The sequence below is a fragment of the Homo sapiens genome, chromosome 3, assembly GCF_000001405.40.
Source record: "Homo sapiens chromosome 3, GRCh38.p14 Primary Assembly".
In the NCBI taxonomy this organism is placed as follows: Eukaryota; Metazoa; Chordata; class Mammalia; order Primates; family Hominidae; genus Homo; species Homo sapiens.
This window is the reverse complement of record NC_000003.12, coordinates 126,139,975-126,159,968: the sequence shown is the minus strand read 5'-3', so window position 1 is coordinate 126,159,968 and position 19,994 is coordinate 126,139,975. Positions and strand designations below refer to the sequence as shown.

Sequence of the window (19,994 nt, the reverse complement as noted above, 5' to 3'; positions counted from 1 at the left end):
AGAGGGCCAGGATTAGGAAAGGGGGCTTGTAGGCCTGGCCAGGCACAGAGGTGTAGTTTGTTAAGGAAAGCCAGTCTCCCTCAGTGGGGAAGCTGCAGCCTGGCCCTAGAATCAACTCCAACACTCAACACCCAATGCCAGCCAGGCTTCAGTCTTGGACCTGACCACAAGTGACCCATGACATACCCTGACCCCACCACAGCCTGGGTCCTACACCCAGCCACTAAGTGACCACTGACCCCAGCTGCTGACCCTGGACCCAGACCAGGCCTGGCTGGGACTCCTACTTGGCCTTGATCTCAGATGTCCTGAAGCAGTATTTCATTGGTCACTGTGGGACAGCTTTTGCAAGTGCAGTCCAATCTGCTGACATCACATCCCACCCTCTCTCAAAACTACCAGACACCAGGACAGAGTGACAGAGGAGGAGACCGGAGAGGAGAGCCAGTCCAGTCAGGGCCCAAACATCACACCAGAGGCTCTAACAGAGAACTGAATACAAAGAAGTGTTCCTTGGGTATTGAAGAGTGGAAGGCAGAGAGCCCAAAGTTATTGGGGACAGCGACTGCAGGAAGCAGCTGCCACTGTAAGGCTAAGATAAAGGAGGACGCTTTAACTATAAAAACTTGGGAGCTTGGGCCTGTAATCCAGACCTGTGAGGAGGGTGTGCTGGTGACGGGGCAGGAGGAGGGGCCCTGCAGGCTGTATCTGGTCCTCTGGGGTGTGTGTGTGTGTGTGTGTGTGTGCACGCATGTGTGCATATTGAGGCTAGTTCTGCAGATGATGGAAAAACTGATTTAGCCATTGCTCTGAGAAGGAACGACTGTGACTGGGATGAAGAAGCTGGGCTGGGGGAGGCTCACAGGACAGGAACCCACTGGACAGAAAGGAGTGGGGATGCCCTGTTGCCCTTCTTCCCCTTCTTCCTCCATCAGGGAACAGCTGACAAAGCAGAAATGCCATCTGCAGGGGGGCAGTCCCCATCACAGAGTGAGCAGTAGAGGGGGCCGGAAGACAGTAACTCAGTGACGGGGATGGCAAGGCCTCAGGAGAGGAATGAGGGCAGAGGTCAGCCATCTGGGTTCTGGAAGAGGGAGGCACTCAGAGGTCCTGGGGTTCAGCAAAAGTCAGGATGCAGGCAGGGCAGTCCCCAGAGCCTCATGCTTGGCTGGTGCATCCGTCTGTGTTGCCCAGTGGAGCCTGGCTGGGGTGTGGGTGAGGGGGCAGGAATGGAGAGAAGTCCTATGAGCTGCTCTGCTGGGAAGGCAGAGGTGGCTGCGTGTGGGTGGGTTATGGAGAGGGGCCAGTTTCTTATCCACCGTCCCACAGGTCTGGAAGCTGAGAAGGATGGAGTGCCGGTATTCAAGTACTCCCGGTGGCGTGCAAAAGGACAGGCTTTGCCTGATGTGGTGGCAAAATACCAGGCTTTGGGGGCCGAGCTCAACGTCCTGCCCTTCTGCAGCCAATTCATCCCCATGGAGATAATCAGTGCCCCCCGGCATGGCTCCATCATCTATCACCCGTCACTGCTCCCTAGGCACCGAGGGGCCTCGGCCATCAACTGGTGAGATGGGGCAAAAACACAGGGGGCCATCCCCATACATGTCCCTCCATCAGCCTGACTTGTCACTTTCCATTAGCCCAAAGCATTTCTAGGGCTGCAGAGTGGGCATCGTGCAGGTGCCTGTCCTGTGGCTGCCAGATGTCAGCCACAGAACAGGCTGTGCAACGTTATCAATGAGTGAAGGCTCTAGAGCACTGGGAGCAGGTGTTGCTAAGCACTCTGCATTCCCACAGTTATTGGAGAAGCTGGCACTGTCAGTGTTCCCATCCCCCAGCTGAGACAGAGAGGGCACCAGAAGGCGCAGGGACAGAGAGGGCACCAGGAGGCGCAGGGGCCAGGGTGCCACCCCAGGCGGTGGGCTGGGGGTCCTACTCTAACTTCCACTGCCGCTGCTCTGGGCAGCACACTTCGTAGAAAGAGATAAAGATGGAGCAAAGGATGGCCTCCACAAGGTACTCTGAGGGGACAGAATTCCCAAGACAACAAATGGGGTGACAAGGCAGATGGGTGGTCAAAGAGGGAAGACATTTGAGTTGAGAAAAGAGAGTGGATTTGTAGTCGGACTGGTCTGTTGAGATTCAGGCTCTCTGATCTTTGTGGGTGTCGCTTCACTTTTCTGGGCCTTAGTTTCCCTATCTGTAAACCGAGTATACCTGTTATCCCTGCTGTGAGGACTCAGTTACATAAGGCATATAGAGCTTTTAGCACAATTCCTGGCCCATGGTTGTTATCAATACATGCTGTTTTCCTTCTTCCGTTTCCCGCCGGAGCCGGTGTCAGTCCTACCCCTGGGAAGAGAGGGCCTCCTGGAGGGTGGCAGGTCCACGGGCCTGTACCCAGGACATCCTCCGTGGCCCTTCATCGTGGACTCCAGGTTTCACTCTTCTGCTTCCTAGGACCCTCATTCACGGAGATAAGAAAGGGGGGTTTTCCATCTTCTGGGCGGATGATGGTCTGGACACCGGAGACCTGCTGCTGCAGAAGGAGTGTGAGGTGCTCCCGGACGACACCGTGAGCACGCTGTACAACCGCTTCCTCTTCCCTGAAGGCATCAAAGGGATGGTGAGGACCTGGAGCCGGCCGCGCCCTGCCCGCCCCGACGCACCCTCAAGCATCCTCCCTAGACCCAGCCCACCGCTCCTGGAGGCCAGGAATCTGTTCCCCAAATTCAGGATTCTGGAGGGAGAGGAGCTCTCACTTCAAGGTTTCAGAGGCAGGATTAGGACAAACAGTGTATTGTATTAGGAGGGAATCTTGCTCACAACGGACAGAACCCAGCTCAAAAAGCGTTTGGCAAAAAGGGGACATTTTGGGGCCCGTTCAATAGACAAGGAAGGCTAAAGGCAGGGACTGGGTCACACCCTGCTGAATCCAGGAGCTTCAATTATGACATCGTTAGGATTCTATTTCTCTCTCCTTCACTCGTTGATTCTCCTTTTCTCTGTGTGATTTGTTTCATTCTCAGTTTGGCTGCCCTGAATTAGAGGAAAGATAGCCACTATAGCTCAAGGATTCTAATTCTTGATTCCAGGGAAAGAGAAACACTTTTTCTCCTAGAATTCATCAATCACAAATCAGGGGAGATTCTGATTGGCCAGCTTGGGGGTCATGTGATCCTCATGAGCCAATCACCAGCTGGGGTGATGGAGTGCTCTGATAGGCTGTCTCCGTCACATGCTTCCTGCTGGGAAGGCCGTGACCTGTGGTCACATGGCCTGAGCGGCAGGGCGGCTCAGTCACCTGGGCAGCTGGTACTGCTGAGAGGCAGGGTGGCAGGCTATGGGCCGGAGCCCACAGCTGCAGGAGGGGCCCGGGGATCATATGTGAGGGCTGCTTGCCCCTGCCCGAGGACAGGCTGGCAGGGACGGCCACAGGCAGAGGTGCTGTCCAGGCATGCAGCAGGAGGGAAGGAGGCCCTGGGGAGCCCTTGCTGTTTGGGCGCAGCAGGAAGAGCAGCTGCAGTGTCCACTGTCCCCTCGTCCTCCTCAGCTCCTGGCCACTGCCTTTTATTTTTCGGTTGTGTTAAACTTGTCTTCCCCACAGATTGACCAGCTCACAAAAATAGTGAACAAAGTAGAGTTGCTGGAGATTTAGTGGTACAGAGAGGGAGCTTACCTGTGCTTCCCACGGCAAGCAACTCAAATACTCCTTGAAGCTGCACTGTCCAACAAGGCAGCCACTGGTAACATGCAGCTATTAAATCAATTAAAATGAATTATACTGAAAAATTCAGTTCCTCAGTCTCAGCCACATTCTAAGTCCCCTGGCCACCGTGTTGGACCGTGCAGACTTGGAACTCATCCATCACCACAGAGGGCTCCATTGGGCAGCCCTGCCTCAGATGCTCTGACACCCGGTCACTTCCCATTCTTGGCACCTCCCGGTCTCTTCCCTCAGGCTCTTGCTCACGTGGGCCCAGACTCCTTGGCTCTCCTTCTCCCTCTCTGATTCCTTTCCCACCACCTTCCTCTTTCCTGTCACAGAGAAACAACTTCCTGCTTCATCTCAGACCTCCAAACTTCCACCTTCAAGCCCACCACGGGGCTCAGGACCCACTCTCTTTAAAGGCAGAGAAGGCTTAGACAGCAACATGGACATTTGTGTCTGTGTTATACCTGCAGGGCTTTACAGTTTATATAATCATCTAAGATATCAGAAGATGTAAGATCTATGTAATCTAAACCTTTGCCAGGTAGAGAGGACGGGTCTGTGTCCGTTGTGCAATAGAAGTTAGGTTCACGCTGACTCCCTTGTTCATATGGCAGGTGTTTCTTGGGTGACTGCTGTGTACCAGGCAAGTCTGGTCAGTCTGGGGAAGGGTCCAGGCTCAATGTGGGCCCTGGGGCTGGGAAGGAGGCAGGGTCCTATTGCTGGGGATAGCAACCCACTGGATCTCCCCAGGTGCAGGCCGTGAGGCTGATCGCTGAGGGCAAAGCCCCCAGACTCCCTCAGCCTGAGGAAGGAGCCACCTATGAGGGGATTCAGAAGAAGGAGACAGCCAAGGTGAGTGCTGGGTCCCTCCACACCCTCATCCTGCCTGTGAGCAGACTGGGGTTGTAGAGGGCAGCCTGAGGAGGCTGGGGTTCAGCCCAGATGGTGCAGGTTGTAATTCTTTGAGGCCAGAACACAGGGCAGCCCAGGTCAGGGATGCATGAAGAGAGCCGTGGAGGAGGAGGACCCTGGCACCTGGGAGGGTAGCGAACAGGGTCCATTCCAGGTTCTTTCCTGTTCCTCTTTAGGAGGAATGGGCAGACAAAGCCCACAGGGAGATAAGAGTGGGAGTTAGGGGGCAAAACGTCAGCCGTAGTGCGAGCAGTCTTCAAGGCAAGGTGTGAGGGACAGTGCGGGTCTCTGGAGCAATAGCCAGTGGAGGAGCCTCAGAAGCCTGTAGGCTGTGTCTCAGCTCAGGAGTATGGGTTGCTGTGTGGGGACCCACAGGGGCCCTGCCAGTGAAAGGTTGGGCCCTATGGGACGGGCCTGAGTACATTGTGCTGGGGCCTCTGTGTAGGGTCTGGGCCATCTTGACAGCAACAGAACATTATCTTCCCCAAACCATTCTGAAGTCTGCTCAGCCCATGAGAGACTGAGGGTCAGAGAGCACCCAGAACTAGGGGCACCAGCTCAGGGACTCCTGCAAGTGTCTAAGAGGAAGCTGGGGTTACCAGCTGTCTCACAAGAGCTTGGTCCACTGTCCAGATGTCATCAGGGTGGGAGGGGAGTGAGGAGAGACCAGCTGAGCACACACACCTTGCTCCCCACAGATCAACTGGGACCAGCCGGCAGAGGCCATTCACAACTGGATCCGCGGGAACGACAAGGTGCCGGGAGCCTGGACAGAGGCCTGTGAACAGGTGTGTCCCTGCATGGCTGGAATCCAGCCACGTGCATTGGTGTATCCCACTGGCCATTAAACTGTCACACATGTTTGAACTGGTTGGTATAATAAATAGCTACTGCCCTGGCCCCTACTCCCACTGGGTGCCCCCTAAACATCCCAGCCTTTCCCCAGGAGTGAGAGACCTACCCAGCCTGCAGTAGCTAAAGGATAGATGTCCTGCGTAGCTGGAGGCCTCCAGGCCCTTGTAGTGCCCCTGGGGCCCAGCTGTATTGGTGGTGAAATATTTTGAGTCTCACCACTGGGCTTGCGGAGACCCCAGGCCCAGTACTCACTCTGACTTGGCCTCAGGCAGGGTGGAGCAGCACATTCAGGGCCAGGCTGACCGTGGGCAGGCCAGATGCTGAAGATGGGGAGACTTGGGGGTCACAGGCTCTAGTGAGGCATCAGGGGTGGCGGGACTGTGTGTGGTGGACTTTGTGCAAACCTTGAGGGCAGTCTTGTCCCCCACACAGTCTCAGACTCTCCAGACCCCTGACCCCCAGCCGACTGCCCAGACTGTGGCCAGAAGCCTCTCTGCTGTCCTCATCAACGCAGAGCCCTTTGTACTAGCAAATGCATCTTCTGATCAAAGCAACCACTCCTTGGCAGCACCCTGAAGGCAGGTAGCCTCATTCCGTGATGCCTGGAGCACATTCTCCCCCAGTCTGTGCACCTCAGGTCTGAGGCCATGGGCCAAGGAGAAGGGTCTTATGGCAGAGTTGAGGCAGACCTGCCATCAGCTCCCTGAGGCCACTGAGGCTCCTCCAGGTCTTGTTTGTGCCCCAGGAGAAAGGGCCTCAGGGGTCACATGGGCTTTGAGCCGGCTCCCAGGTCTCAGCTACCCCTGGCCCCTCTCCCTCTCCCAGCCCTGCTCAGACCTGCCTGGGCTACTGGCTTCGGGGGCTTCTTCTCACCCACCATCTTCTGATATTTCTCCCCTTGACAGAAACTGACATTTTTCAACTCAACGCTGAACACTTCAGGCCTGGTGCCCGAGGGAGACGCTTTGCCCATCCCAGGAGCCCATCGGCCAGGGGTGGTCACCAAAGCAGGACTCATCCTCTTTGGGAATGATGACAAAATGGTAAGGGCACGGCTGTGGGTCACTTGCCTGCTCAAAGCCACCCATGCTCCTGTCCTTGGACTCAGGCCTCACAGGAAGACCCTAGGCTCCTCTGGAGAAAATGGAAAAAACCAGACCCAGGAAGGAACACTGACCCTGATTTGTCCCTGACCACCCGGCTGGTCCTGAGCACAGGGTGTCCGAGGCAGTTTACCCACTTCTCTGTTCTGGGAAAGCTGGGCTCCCTACCCTTCCTGGCTAGGCACCCATCTCCAGGCTGAGTGCCCTGTGTGGGTGTCAGGCAACCTAGAATCAGAGAGAAGCCCTCCCAGGGAGCCTGGGTTCAGGGCCTCTCTTTGGTCTATCAGAAACACCTCTGGGTGTGGGGTCATTAAGCCTCTGTGCCTCAGCTCCCATCTCTTTGAACGGCGATGCCATGGTAACTTAGCACGTGCAGAGCCTTGGGAGCCATGCCGGCCACCTGCTCTTGTTATTAGCAGACTACAACTCACGGTACCAGCAAACACTGATGGAGCACCTTTTATACCAGAACAATGTATATGCGTTAAATTTAATCTGCCTAACAACACTATGAGATATGTATAAATATTATATCCTTATAGAGGAAAAAAACAGAGATTTAAATAACTTGTCCAGGATCATCCAAGCTAGCCCGTGGCAGAGCTGGGATTCAGACTCTGAAATTCTGGCTCCAAAGCCGTGATGCTGGTCTTGGCCATGGTAGCTTCCTGTTCATATGCACTCTACTACTCCTTCTCACATGAGCAGCCGGGGGTAGGGAGAGGGCAGGCAGGGATCTTCCCACACACTGACAGGGTCCGGACAAACCCCATGGGCGTGGTACCCCCAGCCGTGTTGCTGTGTCCGGCCTACCAGAGTGAGGCGTGGCAGTATGGGGCCTGGCCTTTGCTCGCTCTTGGTGTCCAGTCTGCCATGCTCCCCTGTCAGAAGGTCTAGGCTGCTGTTGATGTCTGCAATGTAGTGTTTTGGGTATCCAAGATTGATATATGCAGTTGCAAGAGAATATCTGTCTGTGGTCAGGTTCCCTAGAAGCAGCATCTAAGGTAAAAATTCTTGTGCAAGTGATTTATTGAGGGAATGTTCCAGAAAATCATGCGAGGCAGTAAGGGCAGAGGAAAGCAAAGCAAAAGTAAAGGTTCAGGAGAAGTCTAGCCTGGGGCTGCTCCCAGGGTGGGTTTTGGAGTATTAACTGCACCCTCCAATTATACCTGCCTGTCCCCACCTCTGTCAGCCTTTGGTTTCAGTGGCCCCTGGGGTGGGGTGGAGGACCCACCAGGCATAATCCCTCGGCCTCTTTGTGTACAGGAGCTCTTATCCATCCACAGCAAGCAAGGATGGGACAGTGCAGGCCGTTATCATCCAGCCCTTGCTGCAGCTGGAGGACAGGGCACCAGCCACAGGGGTCTGAGCAGGGCACCCACAGCATCTGTCCAGAGACCTGCAAAGACAGGAATGCAAAGAAGGCAATTAAGTGTCTTAAGAGGAAGCTGGGGTTATCAGCTCTCTCACAAGAGCTTTGTCCACTGTCCAGAGGTGGTCAGGGTGGGAGGGGAGTGAGGAGAGACCAGCTGAGCACACACACCCTGCTCCCCACAGATCAACCCAGAAGACCCTGGGTTGAAGCATCTCTCAGCCACGCCCTGTGGAGTCTGGCTGGGCTTTAGCTTGCAGAAAGCTCCAGAACATCTTTGAAAGGCAATGGGGCGAGGGTCAGGCCGAGAGGCAAGTTCCAGTTCTGGCAGAGCATGCATACAGAGTACCATTCTTACACAGCCACTCTTAACGCACAGTGACATGCACCCACCCATGAGCTTATCCATAACTCTTTTTGTACATGTGTTTTTTTTCCTGGCCCCTAACAAAAGCATTTGTTGAAAAACTATTGATAAACAAGCAGGCCCCAAACAATTCAAACATCTTATTAAATACAGTAAATCTGAGGCAGACACTAGAGTAGCCCAGAGTCATGAGCTACAATGGGGGCAGTTCATGTCTGGCAGCCAGAATCCCCTTGAACTGATGGCTGGACGCAGGCTCTACCTGGGACCAGCTTGAAGTGCTATCCTGAAGCTGCAGACTGCAGGGCCGGCCAGACCCTTTTTCAGCCTCTCCTCTTCCCACCTCTGTATCCCACACAGGCATCTGGTGATGTTCTCCAGGTGTTTCTGTGGCAGTTCTGGGAGCTACTGGGTGATTGCAAGATTAGTTTTTTTTTCTAAGTTGACTTTCTATGTGGTGCCTGAATGACGTTTTCTTTTTTTGTTCAGTAGGAATCCTTTTTTATAGAAGTAATAAAGTCATTACACTTAAAAACAAAGTGAAAGTGTGGTGGGAGTGGGTGATGGAAAATCGAGCAGCTGGTAGGGGACACAAGCTCTGCAATTCCCTCTGTGTCCCTGGAATAGTGGCCTCCCCACTCTGAACTCATCACTAATCTGAGACTCCCTGCTTCTTCCTCATCTGAAGGTTGGAGACAAGGCTGGAGCGCCCAGCACAGCACCCCTTGTGGGACACCTTCATCACTGCCTCAGGTCCGACCACAGGAACTGTGAAATCCTTCCTTTTGGCCGGGCGCAGTGGCTCATGCCTGTAATCCCAGCACTTTGGGAGGCCAAGGTGGATGGATCATGAGGTCAGGAGTTCGAGACCAGCCTGACCAATGTGGTGAAACCCCGTCTCTACTAAAAATACAAACAAAAATTAGTCGGGCATGGTGGTGCGCGCCTGTAATCCCAGCTATTCAGGAGGGCTGAGGCAGGAGAATCGCTTCAACCCGGGAGGCGGAGGTTGTAGTGAGCCGAGATCGCACCACTGCACTCCAGCCTGGGCAACAGAGCAAGACTCTGTCTCAAAAAAAGAAAAGAAAAGAAAAGAAATCCTTCCTTTTGCAGCTGCTGGTGAAGAATATTCAGCTGGAGGATGGCAAAATGATCCTGGCCTCGAACTTCTTTAAGGGGGCAGCCAGCAGTGTCCTTGAGCTGACAGAGGCAGAGCTGGTTACTGCGGAGGCTGTGCGGGTAAGAGGCAACTTCAGGGCTGCCATCCAGTTGGGCAGGTTGTGCCGTGCACATGTGTTCTGCAAATCACACTCCCCAGAGTTGGGCAGCGCCAGCCCTCTGTGGGTGTCTGTTTTGGCTCCAGGTGCAGTGTTGGTTCTATCTCGTCTTGGAGCTTTCTGTTGTCTTCTTGCTGCTCCTTCCTCTGCAACTGGGGCCCTGGGATCTGGCCAGTTCAGTCTGACTCTTCTAGGGGCTCATTGTCAACACTTAATAAGTGAAACAGAAGCTCCTGGAATATTTGAAAGAGTCAGGTGTCAAGCCCATGTCCCTGTGATTAGAATGTGAGCACTGGAGCCTTCCAGAAAGGCTGCACCAGAGGCAGCATCCCGGGCTGTGACCAACACAAGCTGCCCATAAGGCACACCTGGTCTCCAATCCAGCTTTGCCCCAATATGATGCTGTAGGGAGCTTTCGTCTCTAAGACTCAGTCTTCTCAACATGAATTTCCATCCATGCTCACTTCCTGGAATTTGTTCCTGACCCTTCATGCTCCCTCCCACTGTATCCTTCTTCCCTGGGTGGAGAGAAGAGATCTGGGGGAAGACCTTCAAGAGAGAAGGAACAGCAAATGGCAAGGCCCTAACAGGGCAGAGGCCTCCCTGTGTTCAGGGAGTCACCATGGGAGGGCACTGTAGCTGGAGCCCAGGGGGTGAGGGGCAGAGTCAGGTGGGCACAGCTGGGGACCTTGGGTGTTAACAGCACATGTGCGGCAAGGCTCAGCAAGGATGGACATGAGGCATTTGTGTGATCCAAAGGTGCTGAGAGCCAGCAACTTCCTTCTTGAAAGTGGAACACCTTGAAGGTCTGTTTAAAAAAAATCCTATTTATTCCAAAGATATCCCTGGAGCAGTTGCTCTGGCCCTGACTTGGCCTGCCCTGGTGTTGCAGGGCCAGCTGGACAGACAGCCCTCCTGGAGCCCACAGCTGAGTGGCTCTGGGGATGAGCTGGGGTCATCGTTTGTAGATGTAGACCTGAGTCAAACGATGCTATCTTACAACAGCTGCAGCCAAGTCCTGCATCTGTAAAATGGGAATAACAAGCCCTTCCTCAATGGAGGATTGGTAGAGGAGATAACACACATGAAGAGGTTTAGTTCAGTAGCTGGCATCTTTGAGGAACTCAGTACACATCGGCAATACGTCTAAGCATCTCATGAGAAAAGCAGATACTTCTGGAGTGTGTACTGTGGACAAAAGTTCTCAGAAAATGAGTTTGGAGAACAGAGACTTTATTCCAGTGACCAGTTTGCAAACCGTCCAAAGGCAGCTTCTGGTGTAACAGGAAGGTGCATTCCTGAGAACAACGGGAAGGGTGGGGTTTTATAGCAAAAGCTCTCACCCAGGTTCCCATGCAAAGGAAGGGTTGAAACCAGTTCTAATTGGTTGGTACAGCTGAGCCCTGATTGGCTGGTTCAGGTGAGCTCTGAAAGACTCAAAGATAAAAAGGTGCAGGTTTTAGGGGAACCTAGAGTACATGTGTGACCCCCTAGACAGCAAGTGTCCACTTGGCTCTGTTTTAAATTTAGGCCCAGTTTGCTGCTGGGGATCCATCTTGAAGGATTGGCTATTTCAGGTTTGCATTTGTTCACCGTGCACATTCAGAGTTCCAGATCCTCCTGGAAGAGCGGCGTGTTTATTCATGATAACAACTCTATGCAGTAGGTGCCCTCAGTACCTGCAGGTCTCAGCTGTGGAGCCAAGGCCTGAGGAGTGGAGTCCGGGCTCTGGAGGGCTGGGCTCAAGTCCTCCTCTAGCTGTTCACCGTGCAGCCCCCTAAGGCCATCGCTAGGATGGCTATCATTAGGCCTCTTGCTCACAGCTGCACTCGGCCTCCAGGATGTATGGTCTGGAGACCGATGTGATAGAGGGGACATGGCCAAAACGAGGGGAGGCCAGTCTGGGGCTGTGCAGCTCCCCGGTGTTGGTGGAGGGGCCTGGCCTGTGGCTGTTCAGGAGAACGCTCCAAGAGCCTGCTGTGGGCTCGGCAGGTAGTGGGCCACAACCCCCTATGCCTTCATGAGCTGAGGCTGGGCAGTTGCTGCCCATGGCAGAAACGTTGTGTTTGCTGACTCTCCCTGTAGTCCAGACTCTCTGCCTGCCTCACACACGGAATCCTTACACAGCTGCTGTCAGCACTGAGGGGCTGCCTGCATTTTCATGGCTTGGTGGGCTTTGGCTTTGTGGTGCACTCAGTGACCAGTCTGCCGCACTGCCCCTTTGTGGCTCCACTCTCATCTGATAAGGGCCCTGGACGCTAGCAGGTGCCATCCAGTAGGGGACAACTGGTGGCCCCAAGCGGTGTGGTCTGAGGCAGGTAGATCCTGCCAGTAGAGTAGCCAGCAAAGGTTTTGGGGAAGAGGTGACACAGGAATTGGACCCTTAAGGATGCCCAGGACTTAAATATTAGCTGGGGAGTCAGGGGAAGGTGTCGCCAGCAGGTGAGAGCCTAGCAGAGACCTCGAGGGGCAGGCAGCAGGTGTGTGGCAGACAGTGCGTGGCTTGGTGTGGTGTTGATGCTCGCCCTGAGGATGGGAAGGGCAGATCCATGACATTTTTCCAAGAAAGAAAGAGGAGAGCCGGGGGTGCTTGTGCCAGGGGTTGGGGGAACTGGTTCTGATTGGGCCTGGACCAGCATCTCATGCCTCACCCCCAACCTGGGCCCATGATTGACAATGGCCTGGAGTTCATCCAGAGAGTGGGGACCTGGCCTGATATTGCTGGGGCCCCTCCTGACTCCTGCCCCACTGGGCCTCACCAGCAGCCTGCCCAGAGAGCAGTCATCCCATCTTGACTGCTGGACAGCCTTACTGGGTGCCTTAGTGGGAGCTGAGCACCCACATCCACAGGGCCAGCTGGCTGGGCACTGCTGCCCTCCATAGGTCCCAGACTGAATCCTTCAGAGGACACAGACCAGTTAGCATCTTGGTGAGGTCAAGACCCAGGTCTCCTGAACCCATCTGTGAGCCTCATAGTCACCTTCAGGCCCACCCTGTCTCCAGCCTGCTGCTACAACACCCGGGCATCGGTGTCACACTAGGGACACCAGAACCTGGGCGCTAGCACCAAGGTGAGTGGGGGTCAGGAGCAGCTGGGCCCCACCTTCCTAGTCCCCAGCCATGCCTAGAGGCCTGGCACATCTGTCCTCCATCAGCTGGACTGTCATGGGGACCCCAGAGAAGCTGGGGGTTGAGGTGAGGTGGGCATGAGGACAGCAGCCAGCATCAGAGGGCCCTGGGATGTGGCAGCTCCTTCTTTCCCAGAAGGTGGTCACTCCAGGACCATTAAGCCTCCTGGGATGAGGCAACAACTTGGAGGTACATAGAGAAGCCCAGCCTGGCCCCAGGCCATCCATGAGTCTGTTCAGGGGTTGTTGTCCTGGAGTGGCACTTGTCCCCAGCTCCCCTGGGGCCAGCCTCTCATCAGGTCTTGCTTTGCAGAGTGTTTGGCAGCGGATCCTCCCCAAAGTCCTGGAGGTTGAAGACTCCACTGATTTCTTCAAGTCAGGGGCCGCGTCTGTGGACGTTGTGAGGTAAGGCCAGGAGTGGAGGGGTCCTGTCCCAGGTACTTGGTGCTGTGTCACAAATCTCTGCAAAACTGAGCAGCAGGAAACAACCATTTGTTACACTCATGGATCATGTGGGCCAGGGACCCAGGAAGGGCCAGTGTGCAGGTCTGCGTGCACACATGGTGGGCAGCACAAATGAATGGTTGCAGGTCTTTATGCAAATGTTAAGGGGGCGTAGTTGCATGCAGCCTCTCTGGGGAAGTTCTAGGAGGGAATTTGGGAGGAGTTGATTCAGAAGAACAGTACTGAGTTCATAGGGAGAATTAGGGTTATGTATTGTGCCAACCATTTGTGCTGTGCAACAAAGCACCCCAAAACATTGAGATTTAAACCAACACCATATCCTTAGCTCACAGTACTATGGTTCGACAGTTTGTGCTGGGCTCAGCTGATTTGCATCAGATTCAGCTGCTGTCAGCTGGGCTCACATAAGGGCGGGATCTGCCAGGTCAGCTGGGGGCTGGCTGGTCCTGTGGTGGTGGTGGGTTCCAGGAGGGAGAGCGGGAGCCCAGGGAGGGGGTCTCAGAGTGAGCACGTTGTGTTCATTGCATTCTGTTGGCCAAAATGAGTCACAGAACAGGTCCAGCTTCCAGGGTTGGGGAAAGAAACTCCACATCTTGCTAGCAGGTGCTGCACCTTCACATGGCCAAGGCTGTGACTGCAGGGGTGGGCATTGTGACCAGTTTTGCAATTGACCATGCATATGAGTTGGGGCTGAGTGGGCTGAGTTGGGCCTATGTGCTTGGCACTGTGGACCTCTAGTAACTCACTGTGAGGCAGTATGCAGTTTGTAATAATTGTTTTGTAAAAAATATGCCAAGAAGAAGAATGCCAGACACCTGAGAGAATGGTGTCCAGAGGCCAGGCCATGCCTTGTGTACAGCTACCGAGCTGAGGATGCAAAGAAAGCAAAACTGCTTTTCTGTAAATAGTTAAGAGTATATGTCCTTTTAAAAAAAATGTGGCAAAAAAACACATAATACAACATCTACCTTCTTAAAATTATAGCTGTATATTGTAGGATTGTTAACTATGAGCACAGTGTTGGTCAGCAGATCTTTAGAACTTTTTCTCGCACAACTAAACCTTTCTGTCCGTTGAACAGCCACTCCCCATTTCCTTCTCCCTAGCCCCAGCAACAGCCATTCTTTTTGCTCTGATGAGCTTGGCCACTCTAGTACTTCATACAAGTGGAATCATGCAGCATTTGTCCTTCTGTGACTGGCTTTTTACGCTTAGCATGATGTCCTCAAAATTCAGCCCTTTTGTAGCACATGGCAGGACTGCCTTCTTTTTATGGCTGAATCCTATTTCATTGTACAGATAGACCATATTATCTGCTCATCTGTTGATGGACATTTGTGTTGTTTCCACATCTTGGCTGTTGTGAATCAATGTGGAAGTGCATGGGAATTTGAGATCAGTTCTTTTGGACAAATACCCAGCAGTGAGATTACTGGGTCATATGATAGTTCTTCTTTTAATTTTTTCAGGAACCTCCATATCATTCTCCACAGAGGCTGCACCATTTTACATTCCCACCAACAGTGCACAAAGGTTCCATTTTTCCCATATCTTTGCCAATGCTTACTTTCATTCCTATCTTCCTTCCTCTCCCCTTTTCTTCTTTCCTTTTGAACAATAACCATCCCAACAGTGATGAGATGGTATCTCATTGTAGTTTTTATTTTCATTTTCCTGATGATTAGTGATGTTGAGCATCTTTTCATATACCTGTTGGTCATGTGTATGTCTTCTTTGGAGAAATGTCTATTCAAGTCTTTGCCCATTTTTAAATTGGATTATTTGTTTTGTTTGCTATTGAGTTGTAGGAACTCCTTATATGTTTTAGGAATTAACCTCTTATCAGATACATGGTTTGCAGAAGTTTTCTCGCATTCCATGCTGATTGTTTCCTTTGCTTTGCAGAAGCTTTTTACTTTGATGCATATGACTTGTATATTTTTGCTTTTGTTTCCAGTTCTTTTGGTGTGATATTCAGGAAATGATTGCAAAGACCAATGTCATGGAGACTTTCCCCTATGCTTTCTTCTAGTTTTATAGTTTTAAGTCTTAAGTTTTTCATATATTTTGAGTTGAATATTTTTATGTGTGGGGCAAGATAAGGATCCGATTTAATTATTTTGCATGTGGACATCCAATCTTTCCAACATCACTTGTTGAAGGGACTATCGCTTCCCCATTATGTATTCTTGGCACCCTTGTTGAAGATTAGTTGGCCATATATGTTTAGGTTTATTTCTAGGCTATCTTGTTCATTGGTCTATATATCTGTGTTTATGCCAGTATCATACTATTTTGATTATTGTAGTTTTGTAGTAAATTTTGAAATCAGGAAATGTGAGTCCTCTAACTTTGTTCTTTTTCAGGATTGTTTGAACTATTCACAGTCCCTTGATAGTCCATATGATTTTAAGATGATTTTTGTAATTTCTGCAAAAAATCACTTGGGATTTTAATAGAGTTGGCATAAAAATTGTACATAACTTTGGGCAGTATTGTCATCTTAACAATATTAACTTCTCCAGTCCATGAACACAGATGGCTTTCTATTTATTTAGATCTTCTGTAATTTTTTTCAGCAGTGTTTTGTAGTTTTCATTGTACAACTCTGTTGGCTACTTGGTTAAATTTATTCTTATTTTATTCTTTTGATGCCATTGTAAAGGGAATTGTTTTATTAATTTCCTTTTTGGATTGTTCATTGCTAATTTATGGAGTTGCAACTGTTTTTTTGCATGTTATTTTTGTATCCTGCAATTTTGCTGAATTCCTTTATTAGCTCTAACAGTTTTTTGGAGGTGCAGAATATTTAAAGTTTTCTTTTTCTGTTTTTTAGACATGGTCTTGCTCTGTCACTTAGGCTGGAACAGTGGTTTGATCATAGCCCAATGCAGCCTCAAATTCTTGGGCTCAAGTGATCCTCCTGCCTCAGCCTCCTGAGTAGCAGGACTGCAGGCATGCACCACTACACCTAGCTAACTTAAAACAATTTTTTTTACAGACAAAGTCTTGCTATGTTGCCCGGGCTGATTTTGAACTCCTAGGCTCAAGTGATCCTCCCACAGTGCTTGAATTACAGGGTGAGGCGTTACACTTGGCCCATTTAAAGATTTCTACATGTAAGATCATGTTATCTGTGATGAGATATGATTTAACTTCTTCCTTCACAATTTGGATTAATGTTTCTTTCTTGCCTAATTGCCTTGGATGGAACTTCCAGTACAGTAGTCTCCCCTTATTTGTGGTTTTGCTTTCTGAAGTTTAAGTTACCCATGGTCAATCATGGTTGGAAAATATTAAGTGGAAAAGTCCAGAAATAATTCATACGTTTTTAAATTGAGAGCCATTTGATAGAATGATGAAATCTCATGCTGTCCCGCTCCATCCCACCTGATACGTGGATCACCCCTTTGTCCAGGATATCCATGGTGTATGCACTGCCCACCCATTAGTCACTTAGTAGCCACTGGTGTTATCAGAAAAAACATAGAATATATAGATGGTCCCAGACTTATGATGCTTCAACTTAGGATTTTTTGACTTTATGATGGTGTGAACATGATACGAATTCAGTAGAAATTATGCTTTGTGTACCCTTACAAAATTCTGTTTTTCACATTCAGTACAGTGTTCAATAAATTGTATGAGATACTCAAAACTTTAGTATAAAATAGGCTTTGTGTTAGATGAGTTTCCCAACTGTAGGTTAATGTAAATGTTCTGAGAACATTTAAGGTAGCCTAGGCTAAGCGCTGATGTTCAGTATGTTAGGTATATTAAATGCATTCATGATTTAACATTTTCAATTTATAATGGGTTTTTGGGATGTAATCATATCATAAGTCAAGGAGCACAGTGTAAGGTTCAGCCCTATATGTGGTTTCAGGCACTCACTGGGAGCCTTGGAACAACCCCAACCCCCGACCCTGCCCGTGGGTAAGGAGGAACTACTATAGTGTATTGAATGGAAGTGGTGAAAGCAAGCATCCTCATTTTGCTGCTGATCTCAGGGGAAAGGCTTTCAGTCTTTCACCACTGAGTATGTTAGCTGTGGATTTTTCAAATATGGCCTTTATTATATAAAGGATGTTCCCTTCTATTCTTAGTTTGAGTGCTTTTTAATCATGAAAGGATATTGAATTTTGTCAAATTCTTTTTCTGCATTAAATGAGATGACCATGTGTTTTTCTCTTCATTCCATTAATGTGGTATGTTACACTGATTGATTTTCATAGGTGAAGTATCCTTGCATTCCAAGAATTAATCCCACTTGGTCATGGTATGTAATATTCTTAAAATGCTGCTGAAATCAATTTGCTAGTATTTTGTTGAGGATTTTTGCATCAGTTTCCATAAGGGATATTGGTCTGTAGCTTTCTTTTGCTGTAGTATCTTTGTCTGGCTTTGGTCTCAGAGTAAACGCTGGCCTTATGGACAGAGTTGAAGATGTGTTCTCTTCTCAGTTTTTTGGAAGAGTTTGAGAAAAATTGGTGTTACTTTCCCTTCAAATGTTTGGTAGAATTCACCAGTGAAATCATTCAGCCCTGGGCTTTTCTTTACTGGAAAGATTTTGATTACTGATTCAGTTTCCTTACTAGTTATATATCTATTCAAATTTTCTGTTTCTCCATGAGTGAGTTTTGGTAGATTGTGTGTTTCTGGGAATTTGTTCACTTTACCTAGTTATCAAATCTGTTGCCATATAATTTATCATGTATTTTCTTATGATGCTTTTTATTTCTGTAAGATTGGTATAATGTCTCCCTTTGATTTCTGATTCTAGTAATTTGAGCCTTCACTTTTTGTTTCTTGGTCAGTCAGATAAAGGTTTGTTAATTTTGTTGATATTTTCAAGAAATCTAAATTTGATTTTGTTGATTTGCTGTTTTTTTTTCTGGTCTCTATTTCATTTATCTCTGTTCTAATCTTTATTATTACTTCCTTCTGCTAGTTTTGGGTTTAGATTGCTTTTTAATCTCATTCCTTAAGGTGTACAGTGTAGGTTACTGATTTGAGGACTTTATTCTTTTCTAAGTATGTATTTACACCTGTAAACTTCTTTCTTAGCACTACTTTCCCCGCCTCTCATAAGTTTTGGTATGTTGTGTTTTTATTTTCCTTTGACTAAAGGTATTTTCTAGTTTCTCGTGTGTTCTTCTTTGACCCATTAATTGTTTAAGAGTGTGCTAGCTCATTTTCATATCTTTATGGATTTTCCAGATTTCTTTCTGTTATCGATTTCTAGTCTCATTCCATTTTGATTAGGAAAGATATTTTGTAAGAGTTCAATATTTTTACATGTGTTAAGACTTATTGTGTAGCCTAACAAATGATTTATCATGAAGAATGTTCCATGTAACCTTGAAAAGAATGTGTGCTCTGTTCTTCTTGAGCAGTGTTTTGTACATATCTGATTGGTTTGTGGTGTTCAAGTATCTTATTCTCTTGAGTTCTATCCATTTTTGAAAGTTGGGCATCTAAGTAGCTAACTACTATTGTAGAAATGTCCATTTTTGCTTCATATATTTTAGGGCTGTGTTAGGTGTGTATGAATTTATAATTGTTATATCCTCTTGCAGCATCAAACTTTGTATCAATATAATGTCCTTCTTTGTGTCTTGTAAACTTGTTAGATTTAAAGTCTCTTTTATGTTACTATTTGCATGGAATATTTTCTCTATCCTTTTACTTCCAGCTCTTTTGTATCATTATATCTAAGTGATTCTCTTGTAGCATATGTATGGATGCTGGGTTTTATCCAGTCATCCAATTTGTGCCTTCTCATGTTTAAACTTTAAATAGATTAAACAGGAGAGTTTAATCCATTTACATTTAACTTGGTTACTAATAAATAAAGATTTATTTCTGCCATTTGTTTTCTGAATGTCTTATTTTTTTGTTCCTCAGTTTCTCTATACTGTCCTTTTTTGTATTTGGTAATTTTTTTTGTAGTGTATCACTTTGATTCCCTTCTTTCTTTTACTGTATGTTTTTAGTTATTTCTGGGTTGTTACTTAGGGATTACAATTAACATCTTAAATTTATAACAAGGTAGTTTGAATAATATCAACCTAGCTTCAATAGTATACAAACACTCTCATTCTATACATCTCTTTTCCTTCCCCTTTATAGTGTTACTGTCACAGTGTACATTTTTATACATTGTATACCCATTAATATATATTTAAAATTATTGTTTTATGCACTTGCCTATTGTCATATAGGAAAAAGAGAGAAGTTACAAACCACAATAAAATACAATAATATGGACTTTCATACTTACCTATGTAGTGGCCTTTACCTGTGTTCTTTATTTTTAATTGTGTCATCAAGTCTATGGTACTTTTATCTCAGCCTGAAAGACTCTTTTCAGCATTTCTTCTAGGGCAGGTCTACTGGTAACCAATTTCTTCAGCTTTTGTTTCTATAGAAATATCTTAATTTCTGTTTCATTCTTGAAAGATAGTTTTGATGGATATGGAATTCGTTGTTGCCATTTTTCCCCAAAACTTTTAATATGTTATCCAACTGCTTTCTGGCCTTTAAGGTGTTTTAGTGGAAGTCAGCTTTTAATCTTATCAAAGACCCATTGTATATAACAAGCCATTTCTCTCTTGCTACTCTCCAAATTATTTATTTGTCTCTGAATTTCAACAAGCTGGGTGTAATGTGCCTTGGTGTGGATCTCTTTGATCCTGCTTGGACTTCATTCATTGTATGTCTTAGATGTGTATATTCATTTCTTTCCTCATGTTTGGGAACTTTGGGGCCACTATTTCTTCAAATACATATTTAGAGAA

At 48.5% G+C, this 19,994-nt stretch overlaps 1 protein-coding gene across 9 annotated transcripts in view, besides 2 other annotated features; it reads left to right on the top strand.

Moving 5' to 3' along the window:
* ALDH1L1 (aldehyde dehydrogenase 1 family member L1) overlaps window positions 1-19,994 on the top strand; it is a 94,376-nt gene that overhangs the window by 37,977 nt on the left and 36,405 nt on the right. For 8 of the 9 annotated variants that reach the window (NR_072979.2, XM_024453325.2, XM_011512355.2 and 5 more), the window contains exons 3-9: window positions 1,330-1,564; window positions 2,461-2,626; window positions 4,466-4,567; window positions 5,326-5,415; window positions 6,388-6,525; window positions 9,438-9,563; window positions 13,043-13,134. Coding sequence is in view for 8 of the 9 variants with exons in the window: in XM_024453325.2 (XP_024309093.1) it covers window positions 1,330-1,564; window positions 2,461-2,626; window positions 4,466-4,567; window positions 5,326-5,415; window positions 6,388-6,525; window positions 9,438-9,563; window positions 13,043-13,134 (949 nt within the window). In the remaining variant the exon portion in view is untranslated. The remainder of the gene's footprint in view (window positions 1-1,329; window positions 1,565-2,460; window positions 2,627-4,465; window positions 4,568-5,325; window positions 5,416-6,387; window positions 6,526-9,437; window positions 9,564-13,042; window positions 13,135-19,994) is intronic. The other variant, NM_001270365.2, reaches the window with a different exon arrangement.
* Window positions 1,343-1,843: an enhancer, noted in NCBI's record as "H3K4me1 hESC enhancer chr3:125876969-125877469 (GRCh37/hg19 assembly coordinates)". NCBI's record gives its function as "activates a minimal SCP1, AML or CMV promoter by ChIP-STARR-seq in naive H9 embryonic stem cells {active_cell/tissue: H9 hESC(naive)}" and the evidence as "EXISTENCE:reporter gene assay evidence [ECO:0000049][PMID:30033119]".
* Window positions 4,784-4,953: an enhancer, noted in NCBI's record as "experimental_64577 CRE fragment used in MPRA reporter constructs". NCBI's record gives its function as "activates a minimal promoter by MPRAs in K562 erythroleukemia cells, with activity observed for both the introgressed and non-introgressed 3:125873944 variant alleles {active_cell/tissue: K562}" and the evidence as "EXISTENCE:reporter gene assay evidence [ECO:0000049][PMID:34662402]".